At 39.3% G+C, this 15,291-nt stretch overlaps 1 protein-coding gene across 21 annotated transcripts in view; it reads right to left on the reverse strand.

Annotated features, from left to right (window-relative positions):
• Positions 1 to 15,291, reverse strand: part of NSUN6 (NOP2/Sun RNA methyltransferase 6) — a 113,767-nt gene that overhangs the window by 56,833 nt on the left and 41,643 nt on the right. For 11 of the 21 annotated variants that reach the window (XM_011519385.2, XM_011519386.3, XM_011519384.2 and 8 more), the window contains 3 exons: positions 13,791 to 13,900; positions 12,055 to 12,220; positions 7,452 to 7,533 (listed from right to left, as the gene is read on the reverse strand). In XM_011519385.2, coding sequence (XP_011517687.1) covers positions 7,452 to 7,533; positions 12,055 to 12,220; positions 13,791 to 13,900 — 358 coding nt within the window. The remainder of the gene's footprint in view (positions 1 to 7,451; positions 7,534 to 12,054; positions 12,221 to 13,790; positions 13,901 to 15,291) is intronic. The other 10 variants (XM_024447884.2, NM_001351116.2, XM_047424778.1 and 7 more) reach the window with 1 other exon arrangement.

Here is a 15,291-nt window from a genome sequence, read left to right on the forward strand (position 1 = left end):
CCACCACGCCCGGCTAATTTTTTGTAGAGATGGGGTTTCACCGTGTTAGCCAGGATGGTCTCGATCTCCTGAACTCGTGATCCGCCCACCTTGGCCTCCCAAAGTGCTAGGATTACAGGCGTAACCCACCGCACCCGGCCTAATTTTTGTATTTTTAGTAGAGATGGTGTTTCACCATGTTGGCCAGGCTGGTCTCGAACTCCTGACCTCAAGTGATCCACCTGCCTTGGCCTCCCAAAGTGCTGGGATTACAGGTATGAGCCACCGCGCCCAGCCTATGGTGGGTTTTGCATACTCACGGGGCAGCCTGGCAGCCTTTGGCAGTCCAGTCTCCTCCCTACTTCCAGAAAAATCTATTTTTTACTATTGGGTCTTTTCAGAGTCTGAGTGGGTTGAAGGGTATATCGGTGAGGGATGCATTTTTCTCAGCATTTTTTTGAAACTACCAGTTACTCTTGCATAGTATTCCATCTCAAAAAGGAAGTAGCTACAAGTGGTAAGTCAAAGTTATTTATGAGGCTTATCAAGCTAATATCAGACTAATAAACATTTATTGACCAAAATATACAACCTCTACATAAGTCCTAGCCTATTAATGCTTTTAAAATTCAGAATTAGGTCGGGCGCAGTGGCTCACTCCTGTAATCTCAACACTTTGGGAAGCCGAGGCAAGCAGATCACTTGAGGCCAGGAGTTCGAGACCAGCCTGGCCAACATGGCAAAACCCTGTCTCTACTAAAAATATGAAAATTAGCCAGATGTGGTTGACTCACGCCTGTAATCCAGCTTCTTGGAAGGCTGAGGCATGAGAATCGGTTGAACCTGGGAGGCGGAGGTTGCAGTGAGCTGAGATTATGCCACTGTCTCAAAAAAATAAAATACAGAATCAAAACAGTAGACAGATGGTTTATTCATTTACTCCACAAAATGTAATGAGTGCTTACTATGTATCAGACATTGGTCTATGCACTGGAGTTAAGAAAGTAAATAAGATCTCTCTGCTCAATGGAATGTACATATTGGTGGAGGTGCAAGAACAGCACTCCTGAACTATATGCACGCTCTTTTTCTTTTCTTTTCTTTTCTTTTTTTTTGGGATGGAGTCTCGCTCTTGTCGCCCAGGCTGGAGTGCAATGGTGCAATCTAGGCTCACTTCAACCTCCGCCTCCCGGGTTCAAGTGATTCTCCTGCCTCAGCCTCCCAAATAGCTGGGATTACAGGCACCGCCACCATGCCCAGCTGATTTTGTGTGTGTGTATTTTTAGTAGAGACAGAGTTTCACCATGTTGGCTGCGCTGGTCTCAAACTCCTGACCTCAGGTGATCCGCCCACCTCAGCCTCCCAAACTGCTGGGATTACAGGCGTGAGCCACCGTGCCTGGCCACACACCCTTTTTATTATAACAACAGTAAAATGAAATCCTTCTTTTATATTTAATAAGCTGAAAGTGAGTTACTGCCAAAAGCAACAGCTGAGCACTAACTACACACAACTTAAAAGCATTAGACTGCCGGGTGTGGTGGCTCACACCTGTAATCCCAGCACTTTGGGAGATTAAGGCAGGCAGATCACGAAGTCAAGAGATCGAGACCATCCTGGCCAACATGGTGAAACCCTGTCTCTGCTAAAAATACAAAAATTAGCTGGGCATAGTGGCGGGGGCCTGCAGTCCCACCTACTCGGGAGGCTGAAGCAGGAGAATCACTTGAACCTGGGAGGCGGAGGCTGCAGTGAGCTGAGATCGTGCCGCTGCACTCCAGCCTGGGCGACAGAGTGAGCCTCCATATCAAAAAGCATCAGACTTGTTAGAAGTATCACTTACAAGTGATAGATGACAGGTGAGATAGAGAAGAAACCTTATGATCACAAAGTTATTCTACCTACATGTTTATACTTCAAGGATCTAAGCAAGTTTCCACAATACACATTTATTTAAATTAGCAGTTCTATCATGCAAAAAATCCAGCAGCATAATAGGAAGATGTAAAATGTGAAGGGATGCTCTTCAATTTTAGAGACTGAAGCTTCTCAGATCTTCCCACTGCTTTGTTACTCAAAGTATGGCCCGCAAATCAGGGGAATCCAAATTTCCTGGGAACTTGTTAGAAATACAGAATCGCAGAATCCACTCCAGACTTATGAATCAGAATCTGCATTTTAACAAATCCCACAAGATTTTTATTATATTTGTACGTTAAAGTGTAGGAAGGCCAGGCATGGTGGCTCACACCTGTAATCCCAGCACTTTGGGAGGTTGAGGCGGGTGGATCACCTGAGCTCAGGAGTTCAAGACCAGCCTGGCCAACATATAGTGAAATCCCATCTCTACTAAAAATACAAAAATTAACTGGGTGTAGTGACGCATGCCTGTAGCTCCAGCTACTTGGGAAGCTGAGGCAGGAGAATTGCTTAAACCCAGGAGGGGGAGGTTGCAGTGAGCCGAGATCGTGACACTTCACTCCAGCCTGGGTGACAGAGCAAGACTCTTTCTTTTTTTTTTTTTTCTTTTTGAGACGGAGTCTCACACTGTCACCCAGGCTGGAGTGCAGTGGCGTGATCTCGGCTCACTGCAAACTCCGCCTCCCGGGTTCATGCCATTCTCCTGCCTCAGCCTCCTGAGTAGCTGGGACTATAGGCGTCCGCCACCACGCCCAGCTAATTTTTTGTATTTTTAGTAGAGATGGGGTTTCACCGTGTTAGCCAGGATGGTCTCCATCTCCTGACCTCGTAATCCGCCCGTCTCGGCCTCCCAAAGTGCTGGGATTACAGGCGTGAGCCACCGTGCCTAGCCGAGACTCCCTTAAAAAAAAAAAAAAAGTGTAGAAAAATTGTTTCATACTATGTGGATTAAAATTAATTTGGGAATGGGCTCCTACAGGCCAAATCTGGGACAATTTCAGCACCAAAATAATTAAATATAGTAATGAACTATAAATCATTGAAAAAATAGGAATTTGTGAGTATACGCTGTTAATAAGTAAGTAAATAAAAAGGGAAGAAGGGAGTCCTCTTATATTGAAGTGCCCATTCCTGACTGGCAAAGTTGGAAAATCATTGTTCTGTAACAGTAACAACTAGCTCAGGCAAAAATCATCAATGGATGCAAAATCGAGGGGGAAATTTGAATTAGGAGCAGGATTTGAATGATTTTTTAAAATGTCTCCCCACAGACTGGTTATTAGTTATAAGGGGGAGAAAACATAAATATATGTGTTGTGGTGAAATCAGTTGGCGTCTAGATAGGCTGTCAAAACAAACATCACCAGTAAGAGACACATGGCTGTGGTCTAACTCCAGATATGACACTCTGAGGCTTACACGTCAACTTTTGTTGCACACATGGAAAACATCCTACAGCATCAATAAGTAATGGTAAGGGGGTGCAACAGTATGAAACATCATACAACCTAAGGATTCTAGCAAGTTTTCTTATGACAGGGATCTAATAAAAAAATACATTCAGTCTACAGAAATAATGGAAGCACATGAGAGACAAACATTATTCTCCAAAATGGAACAATTCTATTAAACAACTTATGACAAAACGGAAAGAATATATATAAGAAATAAAAGTTGACTGAAGATAGTAAGTGAGATTGCTGGATCAGAGATAGACATGATGGGGGAAAAAAAGAAATTACACAAGGCCTAAAAGGGTTCAGCACAGTGCCTGATGCATAATAAATATTTTAAAATTATTGGTCATTATGTTAGAAAAAAGAAAAAAACTAAAGTGGACACTTCTTTGTATGATGGTTCCCAAATCTGGGTCTGTATCACAATACACTTAAAAGTGCAAAATACACAAACAGCAGATTCCTGTAGGCCTACTCACAATCTCCAGGGGGTTATCATGTACCCCCTGATAAGGACACTTCATCTCTGTGGTATTCTTCTCAAAAATCCAACAACCCCAGCCTAGATGAAGCCAAAATGAGTGACATTAACAAAATACCTTAGTCTCAAAACTGTCAAGGTCTTACAAACAAGGCAAGATAGTTATCGCAGGCCAGAAGAGACATCATGATTAAATGCAGTGTGGGATCCTGGATCGGATCCTGAACACAAATAGGACATTATGAGAAAAACTGGTGAAATCTGAATACCAGTTGGAGTTTAGGGTAATGTGATATTCACAGCATTTGGAGCTACGTACCTAACATTCATAACGTAGTAACACACCAGTGTTGGTTTCTAAGCTGTATCAAATGTACCATGGTAGTATATTACCCTTAGGAGAAACTGGGTGAAGGGTATATAGAAATGACTGTCTTTGCAAATCTATAATTCTAAAATTCTATTCTGTAATTCTGAAATTATTCTTAAATAAAAACTTTTCAACCTGATGAGAGGAAGTAGAAAAAAAATCTTTATTAAAAAGAAAATCCAGGAATAGACTCTAGGTACCCATATTACAAGTTTTTCAAGTGATTTGATACATACAAATTCACTGCAGTCTTGGTCAACGGTGTTATTAAATTATAGAATTTGTGGGATAATGAGGCTCCCTGTGTTGGCTGAGACCTATGAAAGGCTTGGGCATCTTCCATATTAGATCTAAGTTAATCAATCCCTGAAACCAAAATGAAAACTGCAAATTATGGCTACCAAGAGCTTCTTAGCTGTTAGAGAAGCATGGATACTGACAAAAGCAAAAATAATTTTCAATATATTATTAAAGTATCAGCATCTATTGCAATGATTTAACACTATTGAAAAGCATTTTCATTTAGATGATGCCTCTCACATGATGTACTTTCAGGGACTGTCATTTAATCCACTTTATAGTCACTTAAGCATTCAAGTATGTTTGCCTGAAAACAAAGGCAACTTCTTGAAACATTTCAAATGCGTTTTATATTACTATTATATGTAAATGTGAAACTTGTTCTATTTGTGAGAATCATTATGTATGTAAAAATTCAAGGATAATTATCAATTTTTAAAATTCCACATTCTTCTTAAACTTACTCTTCTGCACATTCTTTCAAAATTTTCCTTAGAGAAATGAATATCACCTGGTTCTGGTCTGCATTGAATTAAGCTATTTAGATTTTATGGATCAGGTAAGACCCAGTTAAGAATCTGGTAGTTCTGAACCAGCTTGAAAAGGAAGTTATAACACAAAAAGATCAACTAACTAAACACTGACCACAGAGTTTTTGGGAAACCGTCAAAGAAACTGAGAAATTTAATGTAATATATGAATTGCTTAAAGCCCTTACCCCCTGAACTTGGAACTCAGTACATCTAAATTAGGACCCAAGAACTGCATTTTCAAAAGGCCCTGCTGGTGACTCAGATGCAGATCTTCCAAGGGTTACATCTGGAGCATTGGCATGGGGCCAAGAATACAGGCTTGAAATCAGAAAGACCTGAATGCAAATTTTGACTCTGCAAATTTTTACCTATGCAGCACACAACAAACTACTCCTTTAATCACTGAAAAACTACTAATACCTACTACAGGCTATGCACTTTACTTTTCTAAGCCTCTATTTCCTTATCTATGAAATTGAAGGTTTGTAAGAAGTAAATGAAATAATATATGTAAAACACTCAGCTCAGTACATGGACTACAATAAGCAGTCAGTGTTAGCTGTGATTACCATTAGCATCCCTTATAAGTTTCAATGGCCATCAGAAACTGGCCATCAAAATAGATTACATGAAATAAAACAGCTTTCACTAGAGAAATGACAAAAAGTTAAACTCTGCCCTCAGATGCAAAAGCTTCATTCTGGCAGGAAATTCTTATGTCCCTTGCTATTCAGTGACAAAGAATATGGCTCTATGGTAGTCTGGACAGTATGAATCACAAAATGACTCACAATATTTCATAAAGTCATCATTAAACTGATTTTAAGGTGAAGGAGTGCAGCTATAGATAGCAAAAAAGTGTAAAAAGAAAATCTGCACTATACTAGATTTCTCTTTTTATAAAGTCAAAACTAAATAATGACCAGGCATGGTGGCTTATGCCTGTAATCCCAGAACTTTGGAAGGCCAAAACGGGAGGATCACTTGAACTCAGGAATTCAAGACCAGCCTGGACAATACGGCAAAACCCCATCTCTACTAAAAATACAAAAAATTAGCAGGGTGCGGTGGCGCATGCTGTAGTCCCAGCTACCCAGGAGGCTGAGGTGGGAGGAGGATCACCTGAGCCTGGGAGGTCAAGGCTGCAGTGAGCCAAGATGATGCCACTGCACTCGAGCCTGCGTGACAGAGTAAGATCCTGTCTCAAAAAAAAAAAAAAAAACCACTGTAAATTATGAGATGAGCAGGTACTGTCAAACCAAAGAGAAAACTAACATTGCATTAAACATTATTAACTGGAAGGAGTGCAGGTATCACTAGCAATGACTCAGGGCTACGTTGCCAAATGAACACAAGTGTTTGAAAATGAATTACATAATAAACAAGCACAAAAAAACTCCACTGAAACTAAAATTAGCAAACGAAAATTCCCAAAATGATTCATAAACAATTGTATGTTAGGTTATATATCCTAATGTGTTAGAACATCACCAATGTGCAAATAGATAATAATAAACGTCCGTTGTTCTGTTTGTTCACACCAGAAATAATCCCTGAATTCATAAAATGTCTGTGGGCTAAATACTGGGCAAAGGCCAGGTACGGTGGCTCACACCTATAATTCCAACACTTTGGGAGGCCAAGGCAGGAGGATCACTTGAGGCCACGAGTTTGAGACCAGCCTGGGCCACAAAGTGAGACCCCATCTCTACAAAAACATCAAAAAAATGAGTGGGGCATAGTAGTGCACACCTGTGGTCCCAACTATTTGCGAGGCTAAGGCAGGAAGATCGCTTGAGCCCAGGAGTTTGAGGTTACAGTGAGCTACGATTGTACCACTGCACTCCAGCCTAGACAACAGAGTGAGAGCCTGTCTCAAAATAATAATAATAATTATTATTATTACTGGACAGAGAAGGTGGGGCAGCACACAACATTTGGACTTAGGTTTGAGTTCAGATACCACCAGTTACCAGGAGTGTGACATAGGCCAAGAGTCCTAACAGATCTGTTCTTCAGTAACTTCATCTTATATTGTGAATTATAATAATACTACCAAACCAGCAGACTATAACAAGTCAAATGATTTACTAATGGAACACCACACATGTATATCAAATGCATGCAATATTCAGGGATTAGTATTTTGAGATGGAAAGCAGTCATTTTAATCAGTTATTAAATCACCTTTGGGCAAAGAAAGATAGAAAAAGTAGTTTAAAAATCAAATGAGAAAAAGAAAAGAAAGGAGAATGCTTGTAAAGTTTTTTCTTACTGCTTAACCAAAGGTAGATCAGTGTATGTAAGTAGACCACAGAAAAAATCTTAAATTTTAAAATATCCTAGATTTCAAATAATTCACTGATGTATGTTTCAATGTCACTAAATATTTTACTTTTATACATACTTACTTGTAAAAATAAGTAACGGGGCAGTACACTGTCAAATGAAGGGCTGAGATATACTGGTTCTGTCATTCTTATGCCCATGCCTCTGAAAAATAGGAAATCTAACATTAGTCTGTATAAATTCCATGGTCTATACAAACTATGTTTCCAGAAACGTTCTCCAATAGCCTGTCAAACATAAGATGCTCTATCTTTTTAAGAACTATTTTGGCTCAAGCCTGTAATCCCAGCACTTTGGGAGGCAGAGGTGGGAGGATCACTTGAGGTCAGGAGTTCAAGACCAGCCCGACCAACATGGAGAAACCCTGTCTCTACTAAAAATACAAAAAATTAGCCAAGCGTGGTGACAGGCTGTAGTGGTGACAGGTGACAGGTGAGGAGCTGTAATCCCAGCTCCTCAGGAGGCTGAGACAGGAGAATCACTTGAACCTGGGAGGCAGAGGTTGCAGTGAGCCAAGATCGCGCCATTGCACTCCAGCCTGGGCGTCAAGAGTGAAACTCCGTCTCAAAAAAAAAGAACTCTTTTTATTAAACAACAAAATACATAAAGTAGTCCTGTGAATTGTTTTTGAATTTTTACCTGCAGAATACGAAGCCATCAGAACTAAAAAGGAAAAAGTTACATAAATTTTTCATTTAAGCACAAATGTGTTTCTGTAGAGATTTGAACAGACTAAAAAGCAAATACCACCTCATTCTTTACTACTTCCTGTCAGCTCTTTATAGAATAATTGCCTGGTACTGACACAATCCCAAGGATAACCTTTTCCACCTTTGTCCCATTTTAGGAGTGGCATTGAAAATGATCAGAGCAGGAAGGGCCAGGACTCAGATGGCCTGGTGGAGAATGACTCATCAAGACAAACATCACAATCTCAGAGATGTTGTCAGAGGCTACTGAAGCAGAGAAAGAACACGCAAATCCTGTCAGACAAAGCCAAGCCTGGCCTTGTGTGTCAGGCCAAAGCAGACAAAGCAAGCGAAAGGAGAAACATGGAGAAATTCAAAGAGTTCTGGGGATTAGGACGGCACAGAAAAAAGTATAGTCTCATTAAAAGGGAAGTATAAAAATCAGGATTTAAGCCGGCACAGTGGCTTATGCCTGTAATCCCAGCACTTTGAGAGACTGGCACAGGAGGATCACTTGAGGTCAGAAGTTTGACAGCAGCCTGGGCAACATCTCTACATAAAATTTAAAAAATTACAAAGGCATGGTGGAGTGTACCTGTAGTCAGTCCTGGCTACTCGGGAGACTGAAATGGAGGGATCCCTTGAACCCAGGAGTTGGAGGATGCAGTGAGTTAGCATCCCGCCACTGCACTCCAGCCTGGGCAACGAGCACCCAAATAAATAAAATTTTTAAAAAAATTTTTTTTAAAAATCATAACTTATACCTAGTTTAAGGGTACAATCCAAGGAGAGTCCCATTAGGACTCCATTAGGATGAGCAAAGATAAAGTCTTAGAAGCAGTATGGCAGACAAGTTCATAGCTAGCTTATGGAACAGTTTATGAGTTGATCTTGGCAGACATGCATCTACATGCATGTGTAGATAGATGGTGTGTACTCTATCTAATGTTGGCAGGATAAGTTTATGTTGGTCTTTAGAGTAAAATAACGTCAGTAGATACCCGTGGACTATTACTGAAATGGTATGACTATAAACTCCCCTCGGTTTTGTTGTTGGTTTTATTTATTTATTTTCAGACACAGGGTCTCACTCTGTCACGCAGGCTGGAGCGCAGTGGCACAATCATAGCTCACTGCAGCCTCTAACTACTGGGTTCAAGTGATCCTCCCAACTTAGCCTCCCCAGTAGCTGCGACTACAGGCACACACCACCATGCCAGGTAAGTGTGTGTGTGGACAGAGTCTCACTATGGTGTGTGTGTGTGTGTGTGTGTGTGTCTGTGTGTGTACAGTCTCACTATGTTGCCCAGACTGGCATCAAACACCTAGACTCAAGTGATCCTCCTGCCTTAGCTTCCGGAGTTCCTGGAATAACGGGTATGAGCCACCATGCCTGGCGCCCTCAGTTCTAACAGCATTTAGCATACAATAAATGCTGACTCCTTTTCTTCCTCTTCTCATCCCTTTACTACCTTACTCATTTGTTTACCACTTGAAATCCATGAATGTACACTTTTAATCAGAGGTAAAACTCAGTTGCTGCTCCAGTCAGGACCAAATCAAACCACTGTATCCACTTCCAAGGCAAATATCCCCTGCTCCTGAGCAGAAAATATACAAACGAAGCTTCTGAAATGTCACTGACTCACATTTGAAAGCCAGTCCTGGCTGGGTGTGGCGTCTCATCCCTATAATCTTAGCACTTTGGGAGGCCAAGGTGGAGAACTGCTTGAGACCAGAATTCAAGACCAGACTGGGCAACATGGCAAGACCCCCATTTCTATGAAAAAAAAATTAAAATATCAGCTGATCATGGTGTCATGTGCCTATAGTACTAGCTACTCAGAGGCTGAAGTAGGAGGATCACTTGAGCTCAGGAATTCAAGGTTATAGTGAGCTTTCATCACACCACTCCAGCCTTAATGACAGAGCGAGACCCTATTTCTAAAAGAAAAAAGCAAAGTCAGTCCTTTGTTGTGACACCTGGTACTCTTACCTTGATCAATACCCAGAATCTACAACTATTATTGAAAATCTTGAATTCCATAGTCTGATCACTCCATAATTTAAATGACTTTCTGACTTGCAGGACTCCAGTCCTCTAAAAAATACTGAAACTTGAAAATGTTCATGCCTGTCTTCCTAACTCAGTTCCTAACTACTACTTTAGATTCTGGTGCTCTTCGACTATCTCCTTCTGACCACGCCTACCAGAACAAGTGAGTGCTATAAATCACTGAACTTAACATAACGAAGAATAATTTAAGCCAATTATTATTCAGGTATGAGATTACATGTTTCTTTAAAAAATACTTTTGTAGCCACATATCTCCATATAATAATGCAAAGTACAAGATTGCGTATGTTAACACAGTCTGTTAGTAAATTAATCTGCCTCCGTGAATCTATGAATGATTCAACCCACCTGGAATTCAAGAAAGCAAAGGACTCAAATTCACTAACTGAATAGCAATTGTACCATTAGTTGTGTTGGTTTAAAATTTTTTAAGGAATATAAATAAGAAACAGGGTGTACATGTAGCATTTCTGTTATAGCAGCCTGCTTCTTCCACCGGAAGAGACAAAACTTCCAACAGTATAACTGAATAAATTGAGTTTAAAAACCAATTTTTTTTTCTTTTTTTGAAATTCTGAAGTCTCACTGTGTCACCCAGGCTGGAGTGCAGTGGTGCAATCTTGGGCTCACTGCAACCCCCCGGGTTCAAGCGATTCTCCTGCCTCAGCATCCTGAGTAGCTGCGATTACAAGCACCTACCACCACACCTAGCTTATTTCTGTATTTTTAGTATAGATGGGCTTTCACCGTGTTGGCCAGGCTGGTCTCGAACTCCTGACCTCAAGTGATCCGCCCACCTTGGCCTCTCAAAGTGCTGGAATTACAGGAGTGAGCCACCACGCCCGGCCAAAGGGTGGCTGAAAGTTGGTTGCCTCCTAACTTCCACCAACAAAAAATTATTCAGAACATTGTTCAGAAAACATTATTCAGCACGATAACTGGAACAACATCAAATAACCTAAAAGAATGAAAAGTATACCATTAACAATGAACTAATGGAGGCAGTCAAAATATCAATTACCAATTACAGGTCCAAAGATAAACACAGCAGATATATGCACATAATCTTTATATTCATGAAGCCTTCTAAAAAGAATAAAATCTTTGTTCTTGGCCATTTGGAAAGTGCTGCTACCTAGATCTAGGGAATCCAACAGTCAACTTCTTCAGAAGAACGAATGAATTTCAATTACAAACCCAAACTGTTGCAACATGAAAAACTGTTCCACCAATTAGGGATATCGTCCAATTCTAAAGGGAGAAATTCACAGCTTTCAGCATGTCTATGTCAGCCATGAACTTTGGAGTAATGGAGCTGTCCACAGAACTCAAAAAGCCTGAAAAAACTAAGTAAAATAAGAGCCTGGATTTTTCCACCAATTTATTTAGGGCCACTAGCAACCAGGAATGATTTAGAACAGACTATATTTTAATTTAGTTTGAACAAACCTAAACATTCATTTTTAAACACAAATATTCATGTGAGTGCTAGGTTTCTGGTAAAATTTATTTTTAATTAAAAAATATGTTTAATTTATATTAAAATCAAACTTTTTCTGACAAATAAGAACGTTAAAAATGATCTGGATAGATCATCTAATTCTTTCTCCATCATAATGCACTGTTTTTCAAAGATGCAAAATATTTTGAAAAAAATAAAATTCAGAAGGACAAGTAAAATTATTTGACAATTAAAATGTAACTGGTTGCTTAATGAGGCTCTTTAATTTGATCAGTTACCCTTTTTGACCAAACATCATGGAAATATGGGTTTAAACAATTTTTTTCCAGTTGGATTTATACCAAAAAAAAAAATTTCATATAATGCAACTAGATACATTTTACATTATTTTTAATTTTCATTGACCCACAAAAAGGATGCTGATTTCCCCAAAGCACCTGATGACATACTTCAGTTCAGGTAATCCACTGAAGATTTCTTTGCGGCTTAGTTCAGAAATCCCATTTCCAAGAAATACTTTTGTTCCATCAAATTCTTTGGCTCCTTTCTTACATTTTCCTTTAATATCAGAGTATACAGAAATAACATCTCCAGCTTTCATAACTAGAGAAAGAAGAAAATCAGATTACACTGATTTATACTTTGGCAGAAGAATCGTGAAAATTATTTGAGCTAGATCGGTGATCTCTAGAGGCATCAATAGTGGGCATGAAGCAGTTCAAACTTGCTCATTACCTCAATCTTTAATAGAAAATCTGACTTTTTACTTTAAAATATTCCATAACAATAAAACTCACTAAAGAATCTTTTTCAGTGAAAACAAAGAAATAAAATAGCTTCAAAACATCCTACCCTCAACTGGAAATCTCAAGCTGAGCCAAATTATTTCCCCCAAGCCTTAAAAGATTTCTTATAAATCTTGACATCTCAGCTCAAACCTCAAAGTTCTAAGTTTCCTTCAAAAGGACTGTTCAAAAATGTACCCTAAAATCCTTCAAAGAAATATTTCTAAATCCCATAACCCTGTTTGTATTTGCTATTTTGATATGACAGCACGATTAAGGCAGACTTTAATGATAAGCATATATAGTCATTCATATATATATATATATATATATACACACACATATAGGCACACATATATACGTGTGTGTATACACTTAGAATACCTTTTACAGTATACAGTGTACAGAGTTGCTTTATATGGCTGATTAAATCCAGTTTGTGTAGGCATTTATTTTCTGTAACAACTCTCAGTGTTATTTATAATTGGAAATTATATTCCACTTCCAAAAAACATTTTTAAACCTAATCTATCATAAATTTATTTGGTCTATTACCTGACAACAATAGCGAACAGCCTATTAGCTAGAGCTAAGAGAACTGTTAAAATCATGTAGATCAGATGTCAACACACTTTTCCTGTAAAGGGCAAATAAATATTTTAGGCTTTGTAGCCACATAAGTTCTCTGTGGCATATTCTTCTTTATATGTGTATCTTTTCACAACATTTTAAAAAGGAAAAAACCATTCTTAGCTTATGGGCCACACATAAACAGACATGAGCCAGACTTGGCCAGGAGGTAGTAGTTGACCCAATTCTGATACAGATCAAATTATTCATTTCAAGGACACCATAACTGAGGCCCAGAGACGGAATACGTTTTCTACAGATGAAAGCAATTGTTTCTTGATTTCAAGTCCAATAAGGTACCACTGAACCACAGTGACTAACTTACTAAGCATATGCAACACAGGTATGTCGCCAACTGGGTGAATACATTAAGAGTATCAAGTTTCATCCCAATGTTCAGAGTCCAGGTTCTGGATGTTCTCTCACTAATGACACAACAGCTTTCTGAGGTTTTAAGGCAATGCAGTCAAGAAAACAAAACAGAAGTTCATTGACGTACTCTATCAGTAATGATCCACTAAAACAACCATCATCAAATACATCCTTATTTGGAAGGAAAAAAAAAAAACCATCAGAAAACCTTATATGATGACTAGTTTGTTAGTCCTTACTGGATAAAACCCTAAATGCAAAGCTGGAAAAATACCCGACCAAGAAAAATTTGGAATATATCTTAGTGACAAATCAATAAATTTTCCATTTGAAAATGCACATAAATTTTAGAGAACCTTAAAGACAAATCTAAACATTATACTTACATTGTGATGCTGACACAATTCCTGGGGCATAGACATGGGCTCCTCTTAAAACTGCATTGCCACACTGGGCTCCAACAATGGCTTCACACTGTTGTTTTTTAATATTCTTTCTAGAAATGTAAGACACAAGAAGTTTAATAGTAACATACCTCCAATGCCTACCAATTTTTCCCGTGTTCTATCTGAACTCTAATGCCTCTTTAGTCTTAACTGTCCTGAATACATAAGAAAACGCTGAAAAGAGAGGCATACATATAGAGGAAACAGGAAAAAACAGCAACACGAAGATGGGCACTTGAGAGGAAGAAAAAAATCAAGAGGTCCATCTGCTGGAAGGCAATAAAGTGGCACCAGAAATTGCTTAATCATTTAACAAGCATTACTGTTTATCATAGCATTAGGAGAAAAATAGACTTTCTCTGTCTTCAAAGACTAAAATAGAAAAATACACAAGGAATTACAAAAACATTTCTAAAGTGGTAAATTGTTGCATGGTAAATTATGAATAATTTAAACAAGACAGGAAAAGAAGATAAGTCTTTTTTCCTTCCTTTGCTGCCCAACCTTTTTGAGTCTTTTCCAGTTTCTCACATTCATTTCTTAGACCACTAAAATCTGTATTACTTCTAACACTCAGGGTTCCAAAGATCAGGGACCCAATGTGATCAGCCCTAAATAAAAACCCTTAACAATGAGTCTCTAATAAGCTTCCTTGGATGTGCTGTCACAACTCACTGCTGGGGGAATTAGGTGCATCCTGTCTTCAATTCCATGATCGCCAATTCATCAAATCTTACTAATTTTTCAGCTTTATACCCACTCTTTCCTGGTCCCAAACATTCTCATTGCTCATTCTCTGCCTACTTCTTAGAGGCTCTCCCCGCCAGGTTCCAAAACATGCGACCATCTCTACTCACCTTGCATTCTATCCCTTGGCAATCTCATGATTTCAATAATCACTCACAAAAACAATCCACAAATTCTAATGTTTAGCCTTTCTAGTTTTTTTTTTTTTTTTTTTTGAGACCAAGTCTTTCTCTGTCACCCAAGCTGGAGTGCAGTGACGCAATCTTGGCTCACTGCAACCTCTGCCATCTGGGTTAAAGTGATTCTCATGCCTCAGCCTCCTGAGTAACTGGGATTACAGGTGCTCGCCACCACACCTGGCTAACTTGTGTATTTTTAGTAGTGACAGGGTTTCACCATGTTGGCCAGGTGGGTCTCGAACTCCTGACCTCAGGTGATCCACCAGCCTCAGCCTCCCAAAGTACTGGGATTATAGGCATGAGCCACCACGCCCAGCTTAGACTCTTAATTAGTATTTCTAATTACCTACGGACAGCTATATAGAGACGTCTCACAGTTACTTCAAACTCAACAAGTCCTAAACAATAATCAGTTTTCCCTCATCCATTCCTCCACTCCTTGGCAGGATCCCAAATCTTTTCATCCTGTTTCCAATCTTGAATGAGACGTCATTATCTGCCCAGATAACCAAACT

Source organism: Homo sapiens, chromosome 10 (assembly GCF_000001405.40).
Source record: "Homo sapiens chromosome 10, GRCh38.p14 Primary Assembly".
Taxonomy (NCBI): Eukaryota; Metazoa; Chordata; class Mammalia; order Primates; family Hominidae; genus Homo; species Homo sapiens.